Source organism: Homo sapiens, chromosome 19 (genome assembly GCF_000001405.40).
Source record: "Homo sapiens chromosome 19, GRCh38.p14 Primary Assembly".
NCBI lineage: Eukaryota > Metazoa > Chordata > Mammalia > Primates > Hominidae > Homo > Homo sapiens.
The window spans coordinates 32,608,277-32,635,179 of NC_000019.10; the positions used below are offsets into that span (position 1 = coordinate 32,608,277).

Here is a 26,903-nt window from a genome sequence, read left to right on the forward strand (position 1 = left end):
CTGAGACTGCAGATGTATGCCACTGTACCTGGCTAATTTCACTTTTTTTTTTTTCACCAGGGCTGTAGAGCCTCCAAATTTCCTTTGAGGGGCATGGCCACAGCCCCGCAAAGGCGACGAGATTCACTTGCTGTTTGCACCTCTGTTTAAACCACCGCTATAAGAAACAGTGATTCTTGGGTTTAGGTGAGAATAATTTTACTTTTTGATGATTAAAAATGTTACCTCTTTAAAAAAAAAAACTGTATGCTAAATTAAAGGCTGAATTTTATTATATGTAAATTATATCTCAAAAATAAAAAAGAAGCTGGAAAACACACATGTGCACATACATACACACACTAAATGAAATACCCTGCATATTTATCAGAATGGCTAAAGTTAAAAACTCAAGGCTGGGCACAGTGGCTCATGCCTGTAATCCCAACACTTTGAGAGTCCGAGGTGGGCAGATCACCTGAGGTCAGGAGTTCTAGACCATCCTGGCCAACATGGTGAAACCCCGTCTCTACCAAAAATACAAAAATTACCCAGGTGTGGCGGCACCTGCCTGTAATCCCAGCTACATTACAGGCATGCATTGGGCTGTAGAATCGCTCAAACCCAGGAGGCGAAGGTTGCAGTGAGCCAAGATCACACCACTGCACTCCATCCAGCCTGGCTCACTGCAATCTCTGCCTCTCCGGTTCAAGCGAATTCTCCTGCCTCAGCCTCCCAAGTAGCTGGGATTACAGGCGTGTGCCACCACACCTGGCTGATTTTTGTATTTGTAGTAGAGACAGGGTTTTGCCACGTTGGCTAGGCTGGGCAACAGAGCGAGACTCCATCTCCAAAAAAAAAAAAAAAAGTCAAAATACCAAATGTTGGCAGGGATGTGGAGCAACTGGAATGCTCAAACCCTGCTGGAGGGAACAGAAACTACTCCAACCACTTTGGAAAACTGGCAGTTTCTTTTAAGGTTAAACATATCCTTACTATATAATCCAGCAATTATACTCCTAGGTGTTTACCCAACAACGTATATATCCACACAAAGGCCTGTAACTCCTAGGTGTTTACCCACCAACGTATATATCCACACAAAGGCCTGTACACAAATGTTCACAATGGCTTTATTTACAAATCCAGAAGCAGGAAAACTACTCAGATGTCCATTAACAGGTGAATGAAACAACAAATTCTGGTGTGTCCACCCAATCAACTACTATCCAGCAATGAACTCCTGATCCAACATGGGTCTCAAAAATATCCTGAGTCAAAGAAGGCAGACATGAAAAGGGACATGCGTTAGAATTCCACTTACAAAAGATTCTCGAAAGTGTTAACTAATCCATGATGATGAAAAGCAGGTCACGGGTTGCCTGGGAGAGGCGATGGGGGAATGGGGGGGTCATAGTGGGGGGGAAGGCAAAATCTCACAGGAAACTCTTGCAAGTGAGGGAAACGTTGTGTATCTTGATGGTGGTGATGGTTTCACAGGTTTATATATCTGTAAAACTTGCCAAATTGTATACTTTAAATACATATGCTTTATGTAAATATAAATTATATAAATTATAATGTATATAATTATATTTCAATAAAAGATTTAAAAACAAATTCTAAAACACCACTGGAGACCGGGTGTGGTGGCTCACGCCTATAATCTCAGCACTTTGGGAGGCTGAGGCAGGAGGATCGCTTGGGCCCAGGAGTTCGAAACCAGCCTGGACAACACAGCCAAGACCCTGTCTCTACAAAAATAAAAAAAATAGGCCAGCAAGGTAGCTTACGCCTGTAATGCCAGCACTTTCGGGAGGCCGAGGCAGGTGGATCATGAGGTCAAGAGATCGAGACCATCCTGGCCAACATGGTGAAACTCCGTCTCTACTAAAAATACAAAAATTAGCTGGGCATGGTGGCGCATGCCTGTAGTCCCAGCTACTCAGGAAGCTGAGGTAGGAGAATTGCTTGAACCCAGGAGGCAGAGGTTGCAGTGAGCCGAGATGGCGCCACTGCACTCCAGCCTGGCGACAGAGCAAGACCCTGTCTCAAAAAATAAATAAATAAATAAAATAAAATAGCCCAGCATGGTGGTACGTGCCTGTAGTTCCAACCATTTGGGAGGCTGAGGCAAAAGGATCCCTTGGGCCCAAGAGTTTGAGGCTTCAGTGAGCTATGATTGCAACACTGCACTCTGGCCTTGGTGACAGACCAAGACCGTCTCTAAAAAAAAAAAAAAAAAAAAAGTTTAGGCCAAGCGCAGTGGCTCATGCCTATAATCCCAGCACTTTGGGAGGCTGAGGCAAGCGGATCACTTGAGGTCAGGAGTTTGAGACCAGCATGGCCAATATGGCAAAACCCTGTCTCTACTAAAAATACAAAAATTAGCCAGGTGTGGCGGCATGCACCTGTAGTCCCAGCTACTCGGGAGGCTGAGGCAGAAGAATGTCTTGAACCCGAGAGGCAGAGGTTGCAGTGAGCCAATATTGCACCACTGTACTCCAGCCTGGGCGACAGAGGGAGACTCCGTCTCAAAAAAGAAAAAAAAGAAGTAATACATTAAACACCACTGGAGGCCTGGTGTGGTGGCTCATGCCTGTAATTCCAGGACTTTGGGAGGCTGGGGCAGGAGGATCACTTGAGCCCAGGAGTCCCAAGCTGTAAGTGAGCTATGATTGTGCCACTGCACTCCAGCCTGGGTGACAGAGTGAAACCCCATCTCTAAAAATTAAAATAAAATAAAATAAAATAAAATAAATCACTGGGCTAGAAGAGGATGGGGGGAGTGGATTTTCATTTAATCACAGACATGAAGCAGTTTAGTGGTGTGTCTTTTTGAGAAATCACAAAAAGAGAATAAGAGGTTTTAGAAGTACAGGGAACCTAAGACTTCACCCAATTGAGTTCCACAGTATTTTACTGTGTAATTAAAGTGGGAAAACACAGGGAGGAGAAAAATGGCAAAAACAGCAGCAGCGGAGATGCAGCAATCTCGCCACACACAGGTACTGAGGGCCCGAGGGCTTCATCACTTCCCACCAGATGCTAGGGAACACCATCTGCCTTTCTTATCCTGTGTTTTCATAGCCACCCACCTCGGGGAAATTGTGTTCTGGACCATGTGCATCCAGCAGCAGGGGGCCAGGTCAAAAGGTGCACATCCCCAGTGTACATGTTACCTCACAGCTGAAAAATGTGTGAGGGAAAACTTTAGTCATTTTCAATATCCTTAGAGTCACCCACGCTGAAGTTCTTTTTAGAAATGGTAAAATTATCCTACAATATAAAGGCTAACACCACTCTATCTATTTTATAAAGTCAAATCCATTTTCTTTTTTTTGAGATGGAGTTTCACTCTTGTTCCCCAGGCTAGAGTGCAATGGCACGATCTCGGCTCACCGCAACCTCCGCCTCCTGGGTTCAAGCGATTCTCCTGCCTCAGCCTCCCGAGTAGCTGGGATTACAGGCATGCACCACCACGGCCAGCTAATTTTGTATTTTTAGTAGGGATGGGGTTTCTCCATGTTGGTCAGGCTGGTCTCGAATTCCTGACCTCAGGTGATCTACCCGCCTCGGCCTCCCAAAGTGCTGGGATTACAGGCGTGAGCCATCGTGCCCGGCCAAATTCATTTTCTATTTTCTATTTTATATTTTTAGTTTCTTAGAGACAGGGTCTTACTCTGTTGGCCAGGCTGGTCTCAAACTCCTGGCCTCAAGTGATCCTCTAACCTCGGCCTCCCAAAGTGTTGGGATTACAGGTGTATGACACTGAGCCCAGCCTAATTCTCTTAGTATGGGACATACACATCTATAATTAGATAGCTAACACATGAATGCATGCTATGTATGCAATACCATTTACAACTGCTTGAAAGAAGATGAAATACTGAGGTGTACACTTAACATGACACAGGCAGGATCTGTATGCTGAAAAAAAATCACAAAATGTTGATGAAAGAAGTCAAAGAAGGCCTAAATACTTGGAGAGATGTACCATGTTCATGAAGACTCAACATACGTTGAGTCATATGATGTTATTTCTCCCCAGTTCATCTATAGGTTTAATGTAATTCCTATCAAAATCCGAGCAAGGTATTTTGTAGACATACAAAAACTAATTCTAAAATTGATATAGCTCAGACCAGTCTGGGTACTATAAGAGTGAGTAAGTTAGTAAGTAAGCAATAGGTAAATAAATAAATAAAATTTACATGGCAAGGCACAGGCCATAGAATAGCTGAAATATTCCTGGCAAAGAAGAATAAATTAGGAAGAATCATTCAATCCAATACTGAGGCTTACTACACAGCATCAGTCATCAAGACAGCGCGGTACTGGTAGGATGGGCCCATAGATCAATGCAGCAGAACAGAGAACCCAGAAATAGATCCACACAATCTATAGCCAACTGAGGTGCAAAGGCAAGTCACGGGAGGAAGGAGAGGCTTTTCAACAAATGGTGCTGGCGCAAGTGGACACTTGTAGGCAAGAAAAAACAAAGAAGAACCTCAACCTAAATCTCACACTTTGAGTAAAAATTAACACAAATTGGATCATGGACTTAACTATAAAATATAAAATTATAACTTAAAAAAAACAGGAGAAAGTTGGAAATCTAGAGCAAGGCAAAGAATTCTCAGACTTGACACCAAAAGTATAATCCATAAAAGGAAATACTGACAAATGAGATGTCTAAAAACCTTTTTCTCTGTGAAAGCCCATGTGAGGAAATTATAGACAAGCTACAGACTGAAAGAAAATGTCTGCAAAGCACGTATCTAACAAATATCCACATATCTAGAATATATAAATTCAACGATAAAGCCAAAAACAAACCAATTAGAAAATGGGCAAAACAAATGAACAGACATTTCACTGAAGAACATATACAGATGGCAAATAAGCCCATGAAAAGCTGTTCAACAGCATCAGCCATTAGAGAAATGCAAATTAAGGCCACACTGAGATAGTACTACACACCTATCTGAATGGCTAAAACAGAAAATAATGACCACACCCAGTGCTGGGGAGGACGAGGAGGAACTGGATCACTCATACATCGCTGGTGGGCATGTAAAATGATACAGCCTGCTTGGGAAAAGACTGTCAGTTCCTTATAAAAATGAACCATGGAATTGCCATGCAATGACCATATGACTCCACAATTGCACTCTTGGGCACTTATCCTAGAAAAATGAAAACTTGTGTTCTTACCGAAACGTCTACTCTAATGTTTGTTCGTGGCAGTTTTATTGGTAATATTCCCCAAACTAGCAACAAACTACATGTCCTTGGACATTCCACAGTGAGTATATGCCACCATTAAACAAATGGAATGCCACCCCGCCATGGAGAAACAGACCTGATTCTAGGCAACAGTGTGGAATCAAACGGAGTGAAGAAAGTCAATCCCAAAAGGATTGTATACTGTGATTACATTTATGTAACTTTTTTTTTTTTTTTTTTTTGAGACGGAGTCTTGCTCTGTTGCCCAGGCTGGAGTGCGGTGGCACAATCTCGGCTCACTGCAAGCCCTGCCTCCCGGGTTCACGCCATTCTCCTGCCTCAGCCTCCCGAGTAGCTGGGACTAGAAGCGCCCGCCACCACGCCCAGCTAATTTTTTGTATATTTAGTAGAGACGGGGTTTCACCATGTTAGCCAGGATGGTCTTGATCTTCTAACTTCGTGATCCACCTGCCTCGGCCTCCCAAAGTGCTGGGATTACAGGCATAAGCCACTTATGTAACGTTTTTGAAGTGACAGGATTAGGGAAATGGAGAACAGGTAAGTGGTTGCCAGCGGTTGGGGATGGTGGGGTGGGCGTGGCAGGGAGAGAGGTGGGTGTGGCTGTAAGAGGGCAGTTTGAATGATTGGTCTTGTGAGAGAACTGTGCTTTCCGGTGACAGACACATGCTGCGTCTTGATGGTGGTGATGGCTTCACAGGTTTTACATCTGTAAAAGCTCACCAAGTTGTATAAATACATAGACTTTATTGTCTGTGAATTATACTTCGATAAAGGATTTAAAGACCAATTCTAAAACACTGGGCTAGAAAAGAATGGCGGGGTGGGTTTCAATTTAATCAAAGATATAAAGCAGTTTAGTGTTCTGTCTTTTTGAGACATTACAAAACAAGAACAAGAGGCTGTAAAAGAACAAGGAGGCCAGGCGCAGCGGCTCACACCTGTAATCCCAGCACTTTGGGAGGCTGAGATGGGCGAATCACTTGAGGTCAGGAGTTTGAGACCAGCCTGGCCAACATGGTGAAACCCTGTCTCCACTAAAAATACAAAAAATTAGCTGGGCGTGGTGGTGGGTGCTATGGTCCCCGCTACACAGGAGGCTGAGGCAGGGGAATCGCTTCAACCCGGGAGGCAGAGGTTGCAGTGAGCCAAGATCGCCCGACAGAGCAAGGCTCTATCTCAAAAAATAAAAAAATAAATAAATAAAAAGAACAAGGAGTATATAAAAGTATCTGTCACAGAAAATATCTTGAATGTGATGGTGGATACATAAACCTACACATGTGGCACAACTGTACAGAACTACATACACACACACGAGAACAAGCAGAACTGGGGAAATCTGAACTAAGATCCACGGATTGCATCAATGTTGATATCCTGGCTGTGATTCTGTACCACAGTTTTGCAAGGATGTTACCCCTGGGGAAAGCTGGGAGAGGGTTTGGGGATTTCTCTGCACTTGGAGGGAGAGTCCCCATGAAGAGTGAACTCAACTGAGTAAAAGCAACAGCAGAACATGCGTGCAGCTTCCCTGGGGGGCTTTAGGTACCTGGAAGGAGACCCTTGAGCATCTGTTCATAAGCTCCTGCCACGGGACTCAGGGGCCCAGATAGCAGCCAAAACGCTAATCATGGGACACATCTCTGCTCGCTTACCTGCCACGCAGGGAGCTGGCACCCGCCCTAGGCTAATGAGTCTCACCATATCTTGGGGAATACCTATTCACAGACATGCAGTACAGTAATTATCTGGCTGAGAAATCGAGAACTTTCCTGAGGGAAAAAGGAAGAATTTGCTGGCCAGGAGCAGTGGCTCACGTCTGTAATCCCAGCACTGTGGGAGGCTGAGGCAGGAGGATAGCTTGAGCCTGGGAGGCCGAGACCAGTCTGGGCAACACAGAAAGGCTGAGTCTCTACAAAAAGAAACAAATTAGCCAGGTGTGGTGGTGCATGCCTGTGGTCTCAGCTAGTCAGGACACTGAGGTGAGAGGATCATTTGAGCCCAGGCGGTTGAGGCTGCAGTGGGTCATGACTGTACCACTGCACTCCGGCCTGGGTGACAGAACGAGACCCTGTCTCAAAAAACAAAAACAAAAACAAAAACAAAAATTGCCTACATTCCCTGACCTCCACCAACAGAAACAAAGCCAAACCTTCTGAGCTGGGGCACACTTGGGGCACTGGCACAACGGGTGACAGAATTCGGGGTCCGCTGCACTGACAGTGTCCTCCGCATCCTCCAGGTCCTCCTCTGTCCATTCCAACAGGTAACGCACCTGGTGATGGAGAGTAACGGAAACAGGAACACATCCTCAGCGTCTTTGCATGCACAATATCTTAAACACACACCATCAACCGTTCCCAATCAGGGCCCACGCTTCCTTCTCCAACCCCACAGCCATTTATAACCGGCTTCTGCTCCCTCATGAAGCCTTCCTCAGTCCTTCCACTTCACAGCTTATGCCAGAGATTATTTTCTTCTATCATAAAAAAGGACAGGAAGATTGGTGCTGCCTCAGGGTGATGGCTTTAAAACTCTAGTCCTAGGGCTGGGCGCAGTGGCTTATAGGTGTAATCCCAGCATTCTGGGAGGCAGAGGCCAGAGAATCGCCTGAGCCCAGGAGTTCAAGGCTACTGTGAGCCATGATCACACCATAGCACTCCAGCCTGGGCAACAGAGCAAAACTCTCAAAAAAATAAACCCATCCTGGTCCTAGGGCACTTAGTGAGCACCTCACTCCCTCCTCCATTAAAAGTGGAAGATACGGGCAGGCATGGTGGCTCACGCCTGTAATCCCAGCATTTGGGGAGGCCTAAGCAGGCAGATCACCTGAGGTCAGGAGTTCAAGCCCAGCCTGGCCAACATGGTGAAACCCCGTCTCTGCTAAAAATACAAAAATTAGCTGGGTGTGGTGGCGCATGCCTGTAGTCCCACCTTCTCAGGAGGCTGAAGCAGGAGAATTGCTTGAACCCAGGAGGTGGAGGTTGCAGTGAGCTGAGATCATGCCACTGCACTCCTGGATGACAGCGCAAGACTCCGTCTCAAAAAAAAAAAAAAAAAAAAGTGGAAGACACAGTCCTTTCAAAGGGCCAAAGGCAAGCCAGGGGAACCTGTCCGTCAGAATCTAAGGAAGGCTGTCTCCAATGTCCACTCATTTCACTGTCAGATGTACCTAATGGTTAGGAAAGACGCCTTCCTTCAAGCCACGACATTCTCTCCAGGTGCCAGCCCAGGGCTGGCGGCTCCATCTTTATCCAGATACCTGCTTATGACTCCTCAGAGCCTCAAGCCTCAGGCCCCCTCTCGTGGCCCAGGAGTCCCAGCTGACCACAGCTTCTGCAGAACCTCACAAACACCACTGGGCTCTGCCTTCGCCTCTCTACTTCCTCCTCTCCCCAAGACGCTGCCCTCTCTTAAAACCAAGCTGCCCTCCTTGCACACTGGCTAGTGGGCCTGGGCTCTGAGCCCACACTCTGTGCCTCGGACATGGTCTCTGGTCTTGGCAACGTCTCATCACACTCCTGGAGTATGGACATCTGAAAGGCAGGGCCCACACTCGCTATGTGCCTGTATGTTGATCTGCCTCATTACTTGTCAGGAAAATATAACAACACCATTACCAAATATGCATTAAACATAGCGCCCTCTGCACAAAATCAGAGTCCACATGGCCCGAAACTGAACCGGAGACAAGAAACACAGGTGGGTGGCTGTTTTAAGCTAGAACAAGCTTTTTATAATAAAAAGCACTTCTAAAGCTGGGCAGGGTGGCTCACACCTGTAATCCAAGTACTTTGGGAGGCCAAGGCAGGAGAATCGCTTGAGGCCAGGAGTTCAAGATCAGACTGGGCAATATAGCAAGACCTTATCTCTACAAAAAATTTGTTTATGATTAGCCAGGCATGGCCGCGCACAACTGTGGTCCCATCTATTCAAGAGGCTGAGGCAAGAGGATTGCTTGAGTCCAGGAGTTCAAGGCTGCAGTGAGCCATGATCACGCCACTGCACTCCAGCCTGGGTGACAGAACAAGACCCTGTCTCTAAAAAATAAAAATAAAATAAAAAGCACTTCTAAAAACTCACCATTTCTAGATCTCCATCAGCAACTGCTCTCAAAAGTTTTTCTACCTTAATAAAAGGAACAAGAATGTTAGAAAAATGATTTCAACAATAAAATAATAATAGAAATAATATAAACATTCTGAAAATCTATTGGCTTGATTTGTGGACTTTTAACGTCTGATTTAGTTTTTTTTTTTTTTTTTTGAGATGGAGTTTCGCTCTTATTGCTCAGGATGGAGTGCAGTGGCGCAATCTCGGCTCACCGCAACCTCCGCCTCCCAGGTTCAAGCGATTCTCCTGCCTCAGCCTCCCTAGTAGCTGGGATTACAGGCATGCACCACCATGCCCGGCTAATTTTTTTTGTATTTTTAGTAGATACAGGGTTTCTCCATATTGGTCAGGCTGGTCTCAAACTCCCGACCTCAGGTGATCCGCCCACCTCGGCCTCCCAAAGTGCTGGCATTACAGGCGTGAGCCACCACGCCCGGCTGATTTAGTATCCTGTAAATGTGTCCCTAAAACTGCTCAGGGAGGGCATCCTAGGAAGTTGCTGGTGTGCGCAGAACCCACTGCCATTTAGGGAATAATAAACTGTAACTTTATCAGTGGAATTGTATAAATGTATATGTATATTTATATGTATATACATATAAATGTATATTTATCAGTGGAAAGGTGAGGCCATGGTCGCCTTGGAACACAAGTCCTTCCTAAGACGCCAGCCACCCCTATGATTTAGAAAAATACACTTAGCTAAGTGCAGTGGCTCGGCCTGTAATCCCAGCACTTTGGAGGCAATCCCCAGGAGTTTGAGGTTGCAGGGAGCTATGACTGTACCACTGCACTCCAGCCTGGGTGACACAGTGAGACCGTGTCCCAAAAAGAAAAAAAAAAAAAAAAAAAAAGAAATACTGAACTCAGCTATCAGTATCTGCTAGCTGGGACACCATGAGGGTGGACACCCCTCCCAGGGACAACTTCAGGTCTCCGTTAGACTCTGGACCATGTCTCTTGGCTGTCTCTGCTATGGCTTTGCATGGAGCTAAGCTCACTTGGTCCTCCAAGAGCATGTCACGGCTTGTGGGTAGTGGGACACTATGGTAGGGTCAGTGAGGGTTCAGCACCCATGGGGGGGCCATCGAAGGTGGTACATCCATTCAACAGTCCACTCCTCAGCTAAAGAATGAGGCAGATCTGGCCGGGCATGGTGGCTCACGCCTGTAATCCCAGTTACTTGGGAGGCTGAGGCAGGAGAATTGCTTGAACCTGGGAGGTGGAGGTTGCAGTGAGCCCGGATTGCACCACTGCACTCCAGCCTGGGCAACAGAGCGAGACTCTTATCTCAAAAAATAAAAAATAAAAATAAAATGATCTGAAATCAGCGGACTTCTACATGACCTGACTTGTCTTCTTCTTAGCCTATCCTCTCTTTAATACACAAACGCACTCTACCACACTAATTGCTGCTCAGGGAGTGGTCCATGAAGGGCACACCAAAATATACAGCACCGCGAGATGCTGCTGGGCCCAGCTTGAAGGCACCAACCTCGGCCACCACAGAGCAGCAGCGGCCTCAGCATGGGCAAGCAGGCTGAGAGGGCGGCCCTTGTCAGGCCACGGCTCTTCAGCTGGACACCACTGCCCAGGGCCGCCAAGGCCTCCCCTCCCCAGCCCTTCCTCTGGAAGCCTCACCTCTCTGTAGTCCTTCTTGGTCTCCTCCTGCCTTGAGCTGGCTGACATGGAGGAGAAGCTGGAAGTGGAGGACTCTTGGCTGATGGAGTCCACGGAGCGCTGCGGGGACTGCACAGGGGCCTGCAGCCAAGGAGCCCCAACGAGAGAGAGGACAGGACACAAGGACACGTGAGGACCAGAGAAGGCGCCCTTGGTCTCCAAGGTAACCTGACCTGCTCAGCCCGGCTGACTTACCTCGGACGACTTCTGCCTCCTCTCGAAGGACAGGTGATAGGCTTCCATTACAGACAGAATCTAGGGGGACAAGGGGGATGCCAACAGTACCCCGTGAGATGGGGGTCGTCTCAGCACAGTGCCATCACCCACACGCCCCACTGCCGGCCTAGCTCCTCGGAATGTCAGTGCAGTGAGCCTTAGGTCACGTGGCCCAGTCGCACCCTTGGATAGACAGAAAAACCAAGACCCAGAGCAGGTGGGAACTTACGCACGATCACCCCGAAGTCGGGGCTTCCTCCCTTCACGGCTCCTCCTGTCCCGTGGGAGGGCTCAGGGCTTCCCACGCATGGACGCAAGGGATAAGAGAAGCCAGACCCGCATGGAGCCTGAAAGGTGACTGCATCCAGCCCCCAGGCCTGTCTGTCCACAGGCATGAGGTGTGGCCTTTCCTCTAGCACCCACAGGTCTCAAGTAGGAACAGCTCAGAGCCAAGCCGAGAAGGCAGCCTCTCTTTTCCTCTGCAGATCTCCCTCTGGAAGGGCCTTTGGTAAACAAACGCCACGGCAATAGAACCCTCCTCCCAAGACATCCCAGCAGCCCCAGCCGTGGTGGCACTGCTCAGCCCAGTCAGCTCTGCCTGCCAGAAAGCTGCGACCTTGGCAGTATTCAGGGGGTACAGCCGGAGGCCCCTGAAGCCAGAAACAGGGATCTAACCCTTCACAAACTGTGCTTTACTGTAGTTCTTATGCTGTGTCCCTGCCACACACACACAAAATAATTTAAAAAAAAAAAAAAGAGGGAAGCCGGGCGAGATGACCCATAACTGTAATCCCAGCACTTTGGGAGGCCTAGGTGGGCAGATCACTTGAGGTCAGGAGTTCAAGACCAGCCTGGCCAACATGATGAAACCCCATCTCTAATAAAAATACAAAAAAAAAATAAACTAGCTGGGCTTGGTGACACACACCTATACCTCCCAGCTACAAGGGAGGCTGAGGCAGGAGAATTGCTTGAACCTGGGAGGTGGAAGTTGCAGTGAGCCAAGATCATGCCACTGCACTCCAGCCTGGGCGACAGAGCGAGACTCCGTCTCAAAAAAAAAAACCAAAACAATAAAAAAGAAAGATGAAAGCAGGGGCGGTGGCTCACACCTGTAATCCCAGCACTTTAAGGGGCCAAGGCGGGCAGATCACTTGAGGTCATGAGTTTGAGACCAGCCTGGCCAACATGGTGAAACTCCACCTGTATAAAAAATACAAAAATTAGCCGGGTGTGGTGGCGCATGCCTGTAGTCCCAGCTACTCGAGAGCTGAGGTGGGAGGATGCCTTGAGCCCAGGAGGCAGAGGTTGCAGTAAGCTGAGATCGCACCACTGTACTCCAGTTTGGGCAATACAGCCAAACCTTGTCTCAAAAAAAAAAAAAAAAAAAAAAAAAAGAGAACAGAAGTAAACTTTTGGAGGTGATGGATATGTTTATGGCGTAGATGGTGGTGATGGTTTCATGGATGTCCACTCTTCTCTAAACTCATCAAGTTGTATACACTGACTATATACAGCTTTCTGTATGCCAATCATGCCTCAATAAAGAGGTTTAGAGAAAACAAAAATAAAAACAAATTCAAACTGTGCTACTCCAAGAATAAGATGTGAACAAACTGAAAGAACAACCTGGAAGAGCTGGAAATTATAAAAGGGAGCAGTAAAACATCAAAAGGCAGAAAGCTGGCCAGGCGCAGTGGCTCATGCCTGTAATGCCAGCACCCTGGGAGGCCAAGGTGAGAGGATCACTTGAGGCCAGGAATTTAAGACAAGCCTGGGCAACACACTAAGATCTCATCTCTATTACTTTTCTAAAATCATATATTTTGGGGCTGGGCGCAATAACTCACACCTGTAATCCCAGTACTTTGGGAGGCCAAGGTGGGTGGATCACCTGAGGTCAGGAGTTCAAGACCAGCCTAGCCAACATGGTGAAACCCCATCCCTACTAAAAATACAAAAAATTAACCAGGTGTGGTGGTGGGCACCTGTAATCCCAGCTGCTAGGGAGGCTGAAGTAGGAGAATCACTTGAACCTAGGAAGTGGAGGTTGCAGTGAGCCAAGATTGTGCCACTGCACTCCAGCCTGGGCAACAGAGCGAGACTCCATCTCAAAACAACAAAAAAAATTAAATATTTTTGTAAAAAGGCAGAAAGTCAGGCCTGTACAAACGGGGCTCCCCTAGAGACCTGGAGTGGAACAGAATCCCTCAGGGGAGCCTCAGCTTGCAGATATTCTGGACGTCCATGCTGGGGTCTCCATTTCACAGGGCCCTGTGCTCCCCCTGGTCAGTCTGCCACATGCCTCTCTAACGATGCCATTCACCAGCTCTGCTGCCGGGAGACGAGAGTGCAGAGAACTGGCCTCTGCGAGCCACCTCCAAGCCCCACTGACTCACGAGAGGGGAGCACTTCACAACATGCTCCCCAAACTATGTCTCCAGAAATTACTACCAGAAAAAGGTGAGCTCATTAACAAATTATGTATGAAAGAAACCACACTCGATGTCCAGAACTGGCCGAGTCTCAATAAAGACTCTAGGCATTGAAGGTGAAGCACCGGGAAAAAAGAGTTCCAACACATCCTGCTCCCTCCCCAGTCCCTGCCCCTGCGGAGCCTCGTTTCTACCCACTCCATTTGCCAATAAATCAATAGCACTCGGCAGCCAGAACAAACTCTGCCTGCAGGAGTTCCTGGAACAACCCTGAGAAAAACGCCCACTCAAACCAAAAATAATATATCAGTAAAACCCATTAATGATGACGTCCCACATGCGGCAGAAAGGGTGCAAGCCAAGTTCTGCCCTCAGGCAATAATGCACAATTTGTCTAGTAGGCCAAGACCTAAGCTACGGACATCGATCTTCTTTCGAAGTCATCTTGCCCCTCAGAGATGGGAAGAGCTACCTTTGAGTTTAATGCACACTTGAGGGGCGTCTCCTTCAGTCTGTTCTGGATCTCGGTGGACGCTCCGTTCTGCAGCAATGTCTCTATGACGCCTTGGTAGCCCCAGCGGGCAGCAATGTGTAGAGGGGTGTCTCCTTTCTCATTGCCAATGTCAAGTCTGCACGACTCCACGTCGTAGTAAACCAGAGCCTTCACACACTGCAAAGAGATGGGGAAATGGCATCGCTCATGGATGTACCAAGCCTCGACAAGGTCCGTGCTCTCCTCGACCTCCTCACCAAGCAAATGTGCAGTAACAGACAGAACTCAGAAGTGTCACAGTATCTGATCAGGACACCTCATTCTCATTCATTTTTTTTTTCTTTTTCTTTTTTGAGACAGGATCTCTCTCTGTTATTCAGGTTGCAGTGCAGTGATGCAATAATAGCTCACTGCAGCCTTGAACTCCTGGGCTTAAGCGATCCTCCCACCTCAGCCTCCCGAGCAGCTGGGACTACAAGCATGCACCACCATGCCTGGATGGTTTTTTTTTTTAATTTTTTTTTTTTCCTGTAGAGACAGGGTCTCACTCTGTTGCCCAGGCAGGACTCAAACTCCTGGGCTCAAAAAATCCTCCCACCTCAGCCTCTCACAGTGCTGGAATTATAGATGTGAGCCACTGCGCTCAGCCAGGACACCTCATGCTTTCAAAAGGATGAAACTGCCAATCAATAAGAAGTGGCTGCAAAAACTGTGATGTCTCCATGTACAGAACAGAGTTACTACAGCAGGCCTGAGACTGCTAACCACTGAGAGGCCTGCTTGCAAGACTGCCTGTTGGCCTGAAACATTCTATGGGTGCCTGGATGTGGGGAGTGTTCCCAAAATTCCCTAACTGATTAGGTGGCTCACACTGGGCCTGAATTGTTTTATACAATGTGGTTTATGCTGAACGCCCGAGTTTCTTCTGGGAGTATGGCATTTTGGTACATGCTGTCCAGAAGGTGCTTACAGGACTAGCCTTCATTAACTCTTGGGGACTGAGTTCCTAATGAGCTTCCCGAGTGGACCACACTTCCTGTGTGTTGTTCCAACTCACTGCTGGAAGAACTGAGCCCATCCTGTGTGGGTCCATGAAAAGAGACCTGTTGTTTTTTTTTTTTTTTTGAGACACAGTCTCGCTCTGTCGCCTAGGCTGGAGTACAGCAGTGCAATCTCAGCTCATTGCAACCTCCGCCTCCTAGTTCAAGTGATTCTCCCACCTCAACCTCCTGAGTAGCTGGGATTATAGGTGTGTGCCACCACACACAGCTAATTTTTGTATTTTTTTAGTAGAGACAGGGTTTCACCATGTTGGCCAGGCTGGTCTTGAACTCCTGACCTCAGGCAATTTGCCGGCCTTGGTCTCCCAAAGTGCTGGGACTACAGGTGCCAGCCACTGTGCCCAGCCGAGAGAGACTGTTTGAAGCTCACCCCTGCTCTCCTCTCTGGACTCCACCACGTGCCTGTTCCCTTTGCTGATGTTGTTCTGTGTCCTTCTGCTGTAACAAACCACAGCTGTGAGTGCGACTATATGCTGAGTTCTGTAAGTCCTCCCAGCAAATCACTGAGCCCAGGGGTGGTCTTGGAGACCACTGACACAACACACGATAGATCACTGCAGCTATTAAAGAATGTGCTAGATGGCCAGGCACGGTGGCTCACGCCTGTAATCCCAGCACTTTGGGAGGCTGAGGCAGGCGGATCACTTGAGGTCAGGAGTTCAAGACCAGCCTGGTCAACATGGTGAAACCCCGTCTCTACTAAAAATACAAAAATTAGCTGGATGTGGTGGTATGTGTCTGCAGTCCCAGCTACTCAGGAGGCTGAGGCAGGAGAATCGCTTGAACCCGGGAGGCAGAGGTTGCAGTGAGCCAAGATCGTGCCATTGCACTCCAGCCTGGGCAACAGAGCAAGACTCCGTCTCAAAAAAAAAAAAAAAAAGAATGTGCTAGATCAACAGGGACTGACCTAGAGGATCTCTGTAACGTAGAGCTAAGTTAGGAAAGCAAGTGGCATAAAAGCATACAGGGCATGGTGTCATCTTCATACATCAACCACCTGGCCAGGCCTGAGCCCCACACACGTGTGTAAATCTATCCATATATCACTATGGAGAGAAGCCAGAAGGAGGGCGGGTAGGAAAAAATAAGCACATAGTGGTGAAACAGGACGTGAAAATGGAAATTACGCAATTCTTGGATATCATTATAAAAGTGAACCAGAAATGGTGGCTCATGCCTGTATTCCCAGAACTTTGGAAGGCTGAGGTGGGAGGATTACTTGAGTTCAGGAATGTAAGACCAGCCTGGGCAACATGGCGAAACCCTTTCTCTACAAAAATATAAAAATTAGCCAGGCATGGTGGTGTGTACCTTTAGTCCCAGGGGAAGCTGAGGTGGGAGGATGGCTTGAGCCAGGAGGCTAAGGCTGCAGTGAGCCAAAATCATGCCACTGCACTCCAGCCTGGGCAACAGAACAAGATCTTGTCTCAAAAAAAATTTGTTTTTCTAATTTTAAAAAGTAAAAAATAAAGGCCAGGTGCGGTGGCTCACTCCTGTAATCCCAGCACTTTGGGAGGCTGAGGTGGAAGATCACCTGGGGCCAGGAGATCCAGACCAGCCTGGCCAACATGGTGAAACCCCGACTTTACTAAAAATACAAAAATTAGCTGGGTGTGGTGGCACACACCTGTAATCCCAGCTACTCGGGAGGCTGAGGTGGGAGAATCGCTTGAACCTGGAAGGAGGAGGTTGCAGTGAGTCAAGATCCCATCGTTGCACTCCAGCCTAGGTGCCAGAGTGAGGCCCTGTCTCAAAAATAAATAATAAGTAAATAATAAAAACAGAAAATGTAAAAATTGAATATGTACACAAGTAAGAACCAGACGGTAGCAAGGAGAAATGAAAATGATTTGACTTCAGGATAAGATAATGAGTGACTTGTTTTAAACTTTGTTACTTCAATATGGCATCTGTAATATATTAAACATTCTCTTTTTTTTTTTTTTTGAGATGGAGTCTCACTGTCACCCAGGATGGAGTACAATGGTGCCATCTTGGCTCACTGCAACCTCCACCTCCCAGGTTCAACTGATTCTCATGCCTCAGACTCCTGAGTCGCTGGGATTACAGGTGCCCGCCACCACGCCCTGCTAATTTTTGTATTTTTAGTTGAGATGGGGGTTTCACCATGTTGGTCAGGCTGGTCTCGAACTCCTGACCTCAGATGATCTGCCCACCTCAGCCTCCCAAAGTGCTGGGATTACAGGCGTGAGCCACCGTGCCTGGCCTAACATTCTTTCATATTAAAAAAATTTACACACCCAATGTTCCAATAATTATCGACACAAAATACATTAATGAGAAATCCCGACTTCTCTACGAGTGGGAAAGGGTGAACGCAGCCCCCCCGGAACAGCAAGAGCCACTCACGTCCTCGTGGCCGTAGGTGCAGGCCAGGTGGAGTGGCGTATTCCCATTGTTGTCCTGCACTTCCGCGCTGGCCTTGTAGTGCAGCAGCAGCAGCTGCGGAGATAAAGGAAAGCGATGAGCAGGGCACAGCCGGCTCCCTGGGAGGCCCGGCCTCCAGTCTTAGCAGGGGGAGGTCATTTGCTCCCATCTTCGATCTTATTTATGCTACTATTCAAATTAAACCAACACCCATCATTCCTGACACTTGAGAGACTGAAGAAAAAAGTCTAAAGCCCCACCTTTTCTTCCCCCATATGATCAGGAAGTTTTTCTTTTTAGAGAACTCAGCCTGTCTCCCAGGCTGAAGTGCAGTGGCACGATCATTGCTCACTGCAGCCTCGACCTGCTGGGCTCTGGCAAACCTCCTGCATCAGCCTCTCAAGTTGCTGGGACTATAGGCACACACCATCATGCCCAGATAATTTTAAAAAAATATTTTTTGGTAGAGATAGGGTCTCCCTAGGTTGCTCAGGCTGGTCTTGAACTCCTGGGCTCAAGCGATCCTCCTGCTTTGGGCTCCCAAAGCACTGGGATTACAGGCGTGAGCTACCACATCTGGCCAGGAAGTTTCAAATCTAAACCTAACGATCTTGTCCAGGAGACTCAGAAAGTCTTCCCAGGAGACCCCGGGAGTCCTTGGACTCCCTGACTACTGCTGCAGCAGAGCTGGTGTGGAACGAGGGGGGCACAGCACCAGGAGACAGGGGTGCAGGGTAGCCAGCATGACCGTACAGTCACCACGCAGAACCAAGCTCACAGGAGCAAAGCGACAGCCCGCCACAAAGGCACCACTGCTCACCGTCACGCTCTGGTAGCCCTTCTGACAGGCCAGGTGGAGCGGAGTGGCTCCATGGTAGTCTGTGGCATTTACCATGGCGCCCTTGGAAACCAGGAGGTCGATGAGGGATGCCTGCCCTGCAGAGCAGAAGGACGTCACGATGGAGAAGGAAGGCGCAGAGGCCTTCCACACCTTAACTGTAAAACCACAACACTATTGCACCCTCCTAGTCCTGGGCATGAAACCCACGGTAGATACTTTTTCTGCTAGAGAGGAACTACAGCTAATATAAAGTAAGGCTCCGCAGACTCCAGACATGTTGGGGTGGGCCTTGGAGGGGACCCAGCAAAAGTCCACCTCTCAGCAATAAACAATAATGGAAAAGAGACTTAGACTTCCACAGGCTCCATGACTCATCAGTTCATAAGATGGAGTATTATGCAGCCATTAAAAAATACTGACAAGTAAACATATTCTTGCATAGTGCTAGGAGAAAAATAGCACACAACAGAATATTATGAGCCCTAGAGCACCACACACTTTATGCGTCCACACATCCACACAAGCATGCAGACACCCCAGACACTCATCAATCACAACGATCTCTGGGAGACAGGGATGGCCGGGGACTCTGGAGGACCTTATGTTTTCTATCTTGAATGTGCACTTTATTTTATTTATTTATTTATTTATTTATTTATTTATTTATTTATTTATTTATTTTTTGAGACAGAGTCTCACTCAGCCACCCAGGCTGGAGTGCGGTGGTGCTATCTCAGCTCACTACAACCTCCACCTTCTAGGTTCAAGCAATTCTTCTGACTCAGCCTCCCAAGAAGCTGGGATTATAGGCGTGACCACCACAACAGGCTCATTTTTGTATGTTTTGTAGAGACAGAGTTTCTCCATGTCGGCCAGGTTGGTCTCAAATGTCTGACCTCAAGTGATTTGCCTGCCTCGGCCTCCCAAAGTGCTGGGATTACAGGCATGAGCCACCATGCCCAGCCAAATGTATACTTTAAAAGACAATAATAATATTTTTTTAAAGGCAGGGCCACAAGAACTGCGAGCTGACGATTCTGAGACCGTTCTCATAGTTCAGATTCAAGCCTTCCCTTGCTGGGCCCCCAGCCTGCGGGAGCGTTAGGCAGTGTTTCCATGCCGTGGGACCCACGCAGGGGGGCTCAGCCAGCGCAGGAGGCAGCAGGGTGGCCGTCGAGGCCTGTGGAACGTTTGCTCCTCTTCTCCTTCCGGCCCTTGGAGGGTGGACCCACGATGCAGCCCCAACTGCCAACCCCCACCCAGCCCATCAGCCAGGCCTCTCTGCTGGGTCACCTTGGGCACCATCCCTTTGCTGTGACAGCCCCTAGGGGCCAGCCCAGGACCACATACCACAGACAGCAGCCACATGGAGAGGGGTGTGCCCCCTGTCGTCTCTGGAGAATGGAGTGACAACTGAGGGATCATTCAACCTCCTAAAATACAGAAAGAGATAGAAAACTACACAGGGGAATGGCACAGCAAAGCCTCTCCCTGACCAGGTAGATAGGCAGGTACCACAGACAGAAGGCGGCTCACAGGATGCCACCCAAGAGATGTGTGTCTCCGGCACTGTCCCAGTGCTCACCCAGCATGAGGAACAGAGGCACCTGGCCCTGGAGTCTCTCCCCCACCAACCCTTTAGGCCTCCACACCCAGCAAAATAGCCTGACAAGGATAATGGGAAACCAAAAATGTTACTGGGAAAAACTGACATTCCTCCCATCCTAAAACCCCCTTTCTGAGGCTGGGGCAGGCCCTATAACCAGCCTACCCTGGCAGCCAGCCCGCCAGTGAGCAAGTGCTTTGACAACCTCTAACCTATCTGATTCTCCAAAGGGGCAGCTGTTATCATCTCCACTGTACAGCAGAGGCAGCTGGGGGGCAGGGAGGACAGTCCTTATCTGCAGTCACACAGCGCACAGTGGAGAAGGTCCAGGAGGCCTGTCTCCTGCTTCCTGGCACTCTGAGCCTCCACCAGCACCCTCTTACCCAGAGACGAGTTTCTCACAGTCATCGCAGAAGCAGAGAGGGTGACACATCTTTTGGACGGTATCTTTATCATGGTCCTCTTGGCTCAGAAGTCTCTCCACTTCTTTCTGGTTACCTGATGCAATGTGCTGAAAAGTGACATCCAAGATGCTATCCACATGCTGGAATTACTCAATTATTAGGAGTAAATTTTTTGAGAGTCCTTTTTGGTTTTTTTGAGATGGAGTCTCGTCCTGTCGCCCAGGCTGGAGTGCAATGGTGTGATCTCAGCTCACTGCAACCTCTGCCTCCCGGGTTCAAGCCATTCTCCTGCCTCAGCCTCCCAAGTAGCTGGGATTAGAGGCATCTGCCACCACACCTGGCTAATTTTTATATTTTTAGTAGACACGGGGTTTTGCCATGTTGGCCAGGCTGGTCTCAAACTCCTGACCACAAGTGATCCACCCATCTCGGCCTCCCGAAGTGTTGGGATTACAGGCGTGAGCCACCAAACCTGGCCGAGAGTCCTTTTAGAAATGCTCATCTATGTGTTTATGGATGAAATGATTTGCACTCTGGCATTTCCTTTGTAATCATCTTGGTGGTAGGGAAAGTAGGTGAGGAGAGATGAAACAACTGCACAATGGTGGCCGGCTCATTCTACTACTCTATTTCTGGAAATGTTAAAAGTTTCCCATAATTAAAAAAACAATGACATGCCTGGAGCGGTGGCTCACGCCTATAATCCCAGCACTTTGGGAGGCCAAGGCAGGTGGCTCATTTGAGGTCAGGAGTTCGAGACTAGCCTGGCCAACATGGTAAAACCTTGTCTCTACTAAAAATACAAAACTTAGCCGGATGTGGTGGCAGACGCCTGTAATCCCAGCGACTCGGGAGGCTGAGGCAGGAGAATCACTTGAACCCGGGAGATGGAGGTTGCAGTGAACCAAGATCGCACCATTACACTCCAGCCTGGGTGACAGAGTGAGACTCTGTCACAAAAAATAAAAACAAACAAACAAAAAAACAACATGACAAAATCCATAAAGCAATAGGAATGGCGGGCAGACAACACATCTCTGAACATCAGTGTGGATTTTGCCACCTCACTAGAAAAAGCCTCAGCCCTGTTCCTCTTGTGTTCTTTTTTTTTTTTTTTTTTTTTTTCAGTGAATCCCTACAGGGTGACAAATAACAGAATTTATTTATTTATTTTTTTAGAAACAAGGTCTTGCTATGTTGCCCAGGCTGGAGTAGAGTGGCACAATCAGAGCTCACTGCAGCCTCAACCTCTCGGGCTCAAGTGATCCTCCCACCTTAGCCTCCCATATAGCTGGGACTACAAGTGCACACCACCATGCCCAGCTTCATCTTGTTATTTTTTTATTTATTATTATTTTTATACTTGCTATGGACTAGGGGATCCTCTTTTATTCTAATAGAGCATCAGCCTGTAAAGGAAAGAGAATAGCTGCAATGAGCAGGAAACCCCATCAACACACAAACCTGCAGAGCTCACCTGGTGCTTCCTGGACGTGCTCATTCCCCAGGACCCACTCTGGCTCCAGGTCGCCTGGAAGCACAGCAGCCTCCCCCAGGGGGCTCTGCCCTCGCCCAGCACTCACGGACTGCCCTGCGGGCACCTCAGCGGCCTGCCTGTGGCCAGTGTCTGAGCAGGGAGCTGCCCCCATGTGCCAGGTGACCAGACCACCAGGAAGTCAGGCACCGTGTTCCCAACCCAGTGCACACGCCCATAAACATCTGACAACGGGCTCCTCGAGCCCAGCGGAGGCATCAGCTCTGCCAGGGCTGCCAGCGGAGGCACCACTGAGCTGGCCTGGAGGAATTAGTAGTATTGCGAGGAACTGAGAAAGCAAGAGGCCTGGCCTGCGCCCACAGTGTGCCGCCCAGCACAGCTACAGCACAGCACGCTGGGGGAGGTGGGGAAACATGCCGCTCTCACTCTGCCACCTAGGCTGGAGTGCAACGGCACAATCATAGCTCACGGCAGCCTCCAACTCCTGGCCTCAACTGATCCTTCCACCTCAGCCTCCTGAGCAGCTAGGACTACAGGTGCCCGCCACCACACCTGGCTAATTTTTGTATTGTTTTGTAGAGACGGGTACTCATGATGTTACCCAGGCTGGTCTCGGGCTTCTGGCCTCAAGTGATCCTCCCACTTCGGCCTCCCAAAGTGCTGGGATTACAGAAGTAAGCCACCCCACCTGGCCTTGATCCCAAATTTAAAACCTCAGCATTCCTACTGCCCATTCTGAGCACAGAATGGAACTTCAGGGTTTATGCAGACCACCACCCTGATCATTTTTTTTTTCTTTTTGAGACAGAGTCTCTCTGTCGCCCAGGCTAGAGTGCAATGGCATGATCTCGGCTCACTGCAACCTCCACCTTCTGGGTTCGAACGATTCTCCTGCCTCAGCCTCCCGAATAGTGAGACTACAGGCATGTGTCACCACACCCAGCTAATTTTTGTATTTTTAGTAGAGGCGGCTGTTGCACCATGTTGGCCACACTTGGCCTTGAACTCCTGGCCTCAGGTTATCACCCACCTCGGCCTCCCAAAGTGCTGTGATTATAGGCATGAGCCACCATGCCTGGCCAACCCTGATGGATTTTATAGAGGCACCAAGAGATGCAGTGTTCCTCACCCACATTTACCCACAGAGATGTCTTGGTATCTCACCTTAAACAGGCAGTCGGTGGGAGACGAAGTCATCTGAGAGAGTAAGCTCATTCTCTGCTTAAGGAACAGCCTGTCTCCAAATCCCTCAGACTCCTGCAGGGAAAAAACCAAACACACCACGAGATGTCAGTGCAGATCCTTCAAAACCCAGCACCTCAGCAACAACCCCGGCTGTCTCTTCAGAGCAGTATCGGCTGCGCCTCTCTCCCGTCTCATATGGGACCTGCTCACTGAGACGGAGGACGGGCTGACGTCAGGTGGGGAGAAGGCTTCCTGGAAGTGGAGGCTTTGACGGTTGCTCCCTGTGGGGGATGGGGATGGTGGCGGCACCCTGACTGCGTGTATATGTGGAATGTGCCATCTCCAGCGTGGAATGCGGCGCACACACACCATTGTCCTCCAGATGGAAACTCACATTGCCGTGGCCTCCCTTCCTCCTCAAGCCTCTGACCAAATGCCTGCAGAGCCCAATTCCCTGCTGTCTTATCTGAGGCCTTTGGGCAGGAAAGCCATTTCACAAGCTGGTCTCAATTTCCCACTGTCAACCAGCAGGAGAGAGAGGGGTCTTGCTTTTTGGACGTGCCTATTAAATAATATGGCCACATGGCCAGGCGCAGTGGCTCACACCTATAATCCCAGCACTTTGGGAGGCTGAGGTGAACGGATCACCTGAGGTCAGGAGTTCAATACGAGCCTGGCCAACATGGTGAAACCAATCTCTATTAAAAACACAAAAAATTAGCAGGGCATGGTGGTACATGCCTGTAGTCCCAGTTACTTGGGAGGCTGAGGCAGAAGAATCACTTAAACCTGGGAGGCAGAGGTTACAGTGAGCTGAGATCACACCACTGCACTCTAGCCTGGGTGAGAGAGCGAGACTCCATCTCAAAAATAAATAAATAGGCCAGGCGCGGTGGCTCATGCCTGTAACCCCAGCACTTTGAGGGGCCGAGGCGCGTGGATCACTTGAGGTCAGGAGTTTGAGACCAGCCTGGCCAACATGGTGAAACCCCTCTCTACTAAAAATACAAAAATTAGCCGGGTGTGGTGGCGGGCGCCTGTAATCCCAACTACTCAGGAGGCTGAGGCAGGAGAATCACTTGAACCCCGCAAGTGGAGGTTGCGGTGAGCCAAGATGGTGCCACTACACTCCAGCCTGGGTGACAGAGCAAGACTCCATCTCAAAAAAAAAAAAAAAAAAAAAGGCAAAACTCTAGATACTTTCCATAATACTTTATGAAATCATTTCTCGCAAGACAGTTCAATGCTTCCTTGAGCACCTGCAACCAAACCATGTAATGACAAATTCGCTTCCTGAAAAGGGTCTTGGTGGGAAGTCAAGGGAATTTTCTCCAGCCAGCGGCTGCCAGAAAACCCCCAAACCCTGACAAATTTGTGGAATAAGGATGTCTCTTTACAGCCCTCTAAGTTTTGACTTGGAGGTCCACCTAAAGATAGAGCTGACAGCATCTCTGGGGATAGGCCATTCCTGGGGTCCTCTGCCATGCAGGGTCCTCCCAGCAGTCCCCCAGGAGGGTTAACTTAGCAAATGAACAGCAGCACCTGTGAGAGGCACTTCTGCCCCCAGCTGCTGTGTGCCATATAAAGCTCTAACAATCCACTTTACACCGCAATTCACAGCTGAGGAGCTTAGGGTCAGAGAAACATCACACATTGTTATCCGGGTAAATCCAGCACTCTTTCCGCAACTCTGGTTAACGATTTAGACAGCAGTGATGAAGACAGGTAGGTCTCCCAAGACTGAATCTTCAGGGAAGAATGAGCTATTGGAAGAGAGGGGGTATCAGCAAGGACTTACTAAAGAAATGGGTAAATCCTTTCTATGAGAAACCCAGTAACGTAAGGAAGGCCAGAAGCATGCAAAGCTGCAGACAAGAATGGTACAGGTTCTTTCTTGTTTTTTTATCTGTTTTTTTTTTTTTTTTTTTGAGACGGGGTCTTGCTCTGTCTCCCAAGCTGGACTGCAGTGGTATAATCATAGCTCACTACAGCCTTGAACTACCAGGTTCAAGTGATCCTCCCACCTTAGCTTCCCAAGTAGCTGGGACTAAAGGTGTGCCACCGTGCACCGCTAATTTTTTGTAAAGATGGCGGTCTCGCTACATTGCCCAGGCTGGTCTCGAACTCCTGGCCTCAGGTGATCCTCCTGCCTCAGCCTCCCAAAGTGCTGGGATTACAGGCATGAGTGACCAGGCCCAACCCAGATTCTTTCAAAGTTCTCTCTTTTTTTCATTCACAAAGGTAACTCTAGAGTCATCCCAGTAATTTATTTTCAGAAAGCTGAAGTCTTCATTTATGAACATGCTTAAAGAATGTTGAGCAGGTGTGGTGGCTCATGCCTGTAATCCCAGCACTTTGGGAAGCTGAGGTGGGAGGATCACATGAGCCCAGGAGTTCAAGCTCAGCCTGGGCAAAATAGCGAGACCTCATCTCTACAAAAAATTTAAGAATTAAAAAATTAGCCAGGTGTGGTGGCACACACCTGTAGTCCCAGCCACCCAGGAGGCTGAGGCAGGAGGATCCCTTTGAGCGCAGGAGTTGGAGGCTGCAGTGAGCTAGGATCACACCACTGCACTCCACCCTGGGTGACAGAGCGAGATCCTGTCTCTAAGAAAAATAAAAGCTTATGGTCATCTCAAGTATATTTTGCAGAGAAAATTTCCATGAAACTATATTATATAAAATCAATAGTAAAATCTAACTGGATGTCCTCATATTTAGTCCTTAATACTTTTCAGAAACCTCTTCTGCTGTGAGGAGATACACTTGGGATTTTTCCCTAGGAAACACCATCAATACATAGCAATGACTCTCTACATTCCTAAAGGGAACTTCATTACTTAAACCAGTGAGCAGCTAAGACAGAGGCCATGATACAGACAGAATCACAACAACAAGGAAGCCACGACGCCTGCTCCGTCAATTACAGGCCACAGTAAATATACGAGCATCTCTCAATACCTGCAGGGTGGGCTTCACAGCCAGCCGTGAGGATGATGCATACCTGTCTCAAGGTTTCACCAGAACCAACCATACTCCATCCAGGAGGGCAGAACCAGGGTCCAACACCCTGACAACAAGAGGGGTGCCTTGGGCTGTGACCCTCCCTTTCCCATCCAAACTAAACACTATCCTTAGGGGCATCCTTACACCCCAGATGCAGAGACAAACAGACATGCCCAAGACATCTGAGCCTATAGGAGTGGACTCAGGCTGGGCGCAGTGGCTGGTACCTGTAATCCCAGCACTTTGGGAGGCTGAGGCAGGCGGATCACTTGAGGTCAAGGGTTCAAGACGAGCCCAGCCAACATGGCAAAATCCTATCTCCACAAAAATACAAAAATTAGCCGTGCGTAGTGGTGCGTGCCTGTAGTCCCAGGTACTTGGGAGGCTGAGGCAGGAGAATCGCTTGAACCCGGGAGGTGGAGGTTGCATTGAGCTGAGATTGCACCACTGCACTCCCGTCTGGGTGACAGAGCGAGACTCAGTCTCAAAAAAAAAGAAAGACTGGACTCAAACCCTCAAACCAACACCAGCACGAGAGAAGGAACCTCTCAAATATTACTGCCAATGTGCCTGCAATATTTTCTGAAATAAAAGGAGGTGTGAGAAGCCGATGTATACTGTTTGGTCAGCCACCTCCTTACAACCTGGTGAAGGCCTCCACAGAAAATGAGAAAGCAGAAGACAGCCACGCTACAGGGAGCAGCAAGGGGATGGGAGCATCTTTGAGAGGTGGACACCTCCTTCCAGGTGA

The 26,903-nt window shown here is 48.5% G+C and overlaps 1 protein-coding gene and 1 non-coding gene across 2 annotated transcripts in view, besides 1 other annotated feature; both read right to left on the reverse strand.

Annotated features, from left to right (window-relative positions):
- The window catches only part of ANKRD27 (ankyrin repeat domain 27), a 78,175-nt gene that overhangs the window by 11,271 nt on the left and 40,001 nt on the right, over positions 1-26,903 (reverse strand). The window contains exons 13-22 of the mRNA NM_032139.3: positions 23,126-23,218; positions 20,446-20,573; positions 19,807-19,889; positions 18,436-18,551; positions 17,598-17,690; positions 14,146-14,343; positions 11,218-11,277; positions 10,984-11,103; positions 9,313-9,357; positions 7,382-7,504 (exon numbers count right to left, since the gene is read on the reverse strand). Of these exons, the coding sequence (NP_115515.2) occupies positions 7,382-7,504; positions 9,313-9,357; positions 10,984-11,103; positions 11,218-11,277; positions 14,146-14,343; positions 17,598-17,690; positions 18,436-18,551; positions 19,807-19,889; positions 20,446-20,573; positions 23,126-23,218 (1,059 nt within the window). The remainder of the gene's footprint in view (positions 1-7,381; positions 7,505-9,312; positions 9,358-10,983; positions 11,104-11,217; positions 11,278-14,145; positions 14,344-17,597; positions 17,691-18,435; positions 18,552-19,806; positions 19,890-20,445; positions 20,574-23,125; positions 23,219-26,903) is intronic.
- Positions 61-193, reverse strand: SNORA68B (small nucleolar RNA, H/ACA box 68B). The gene has a single exon (NR_145718.1). It is a non-coding gene; the product is annotated as a small nucleolar RNA, H/ACA box 68B (small nucleolar RNA).
- Positions 20,247-20,541: an enhancer, noted in NCBI's record as "tiled region #4203; K562 Activating DNase matched - State 5:Enh". NCBI's record gives its function as "activates a minimal TATA promoter and a strong SV40 promoter by Sharpr-MPRA in K562 cells {active_cell/tissue: K562}" and the evidence as "EXISTENCE:reporter gene assay evidence [ECO:0000049][PMID:27701403]".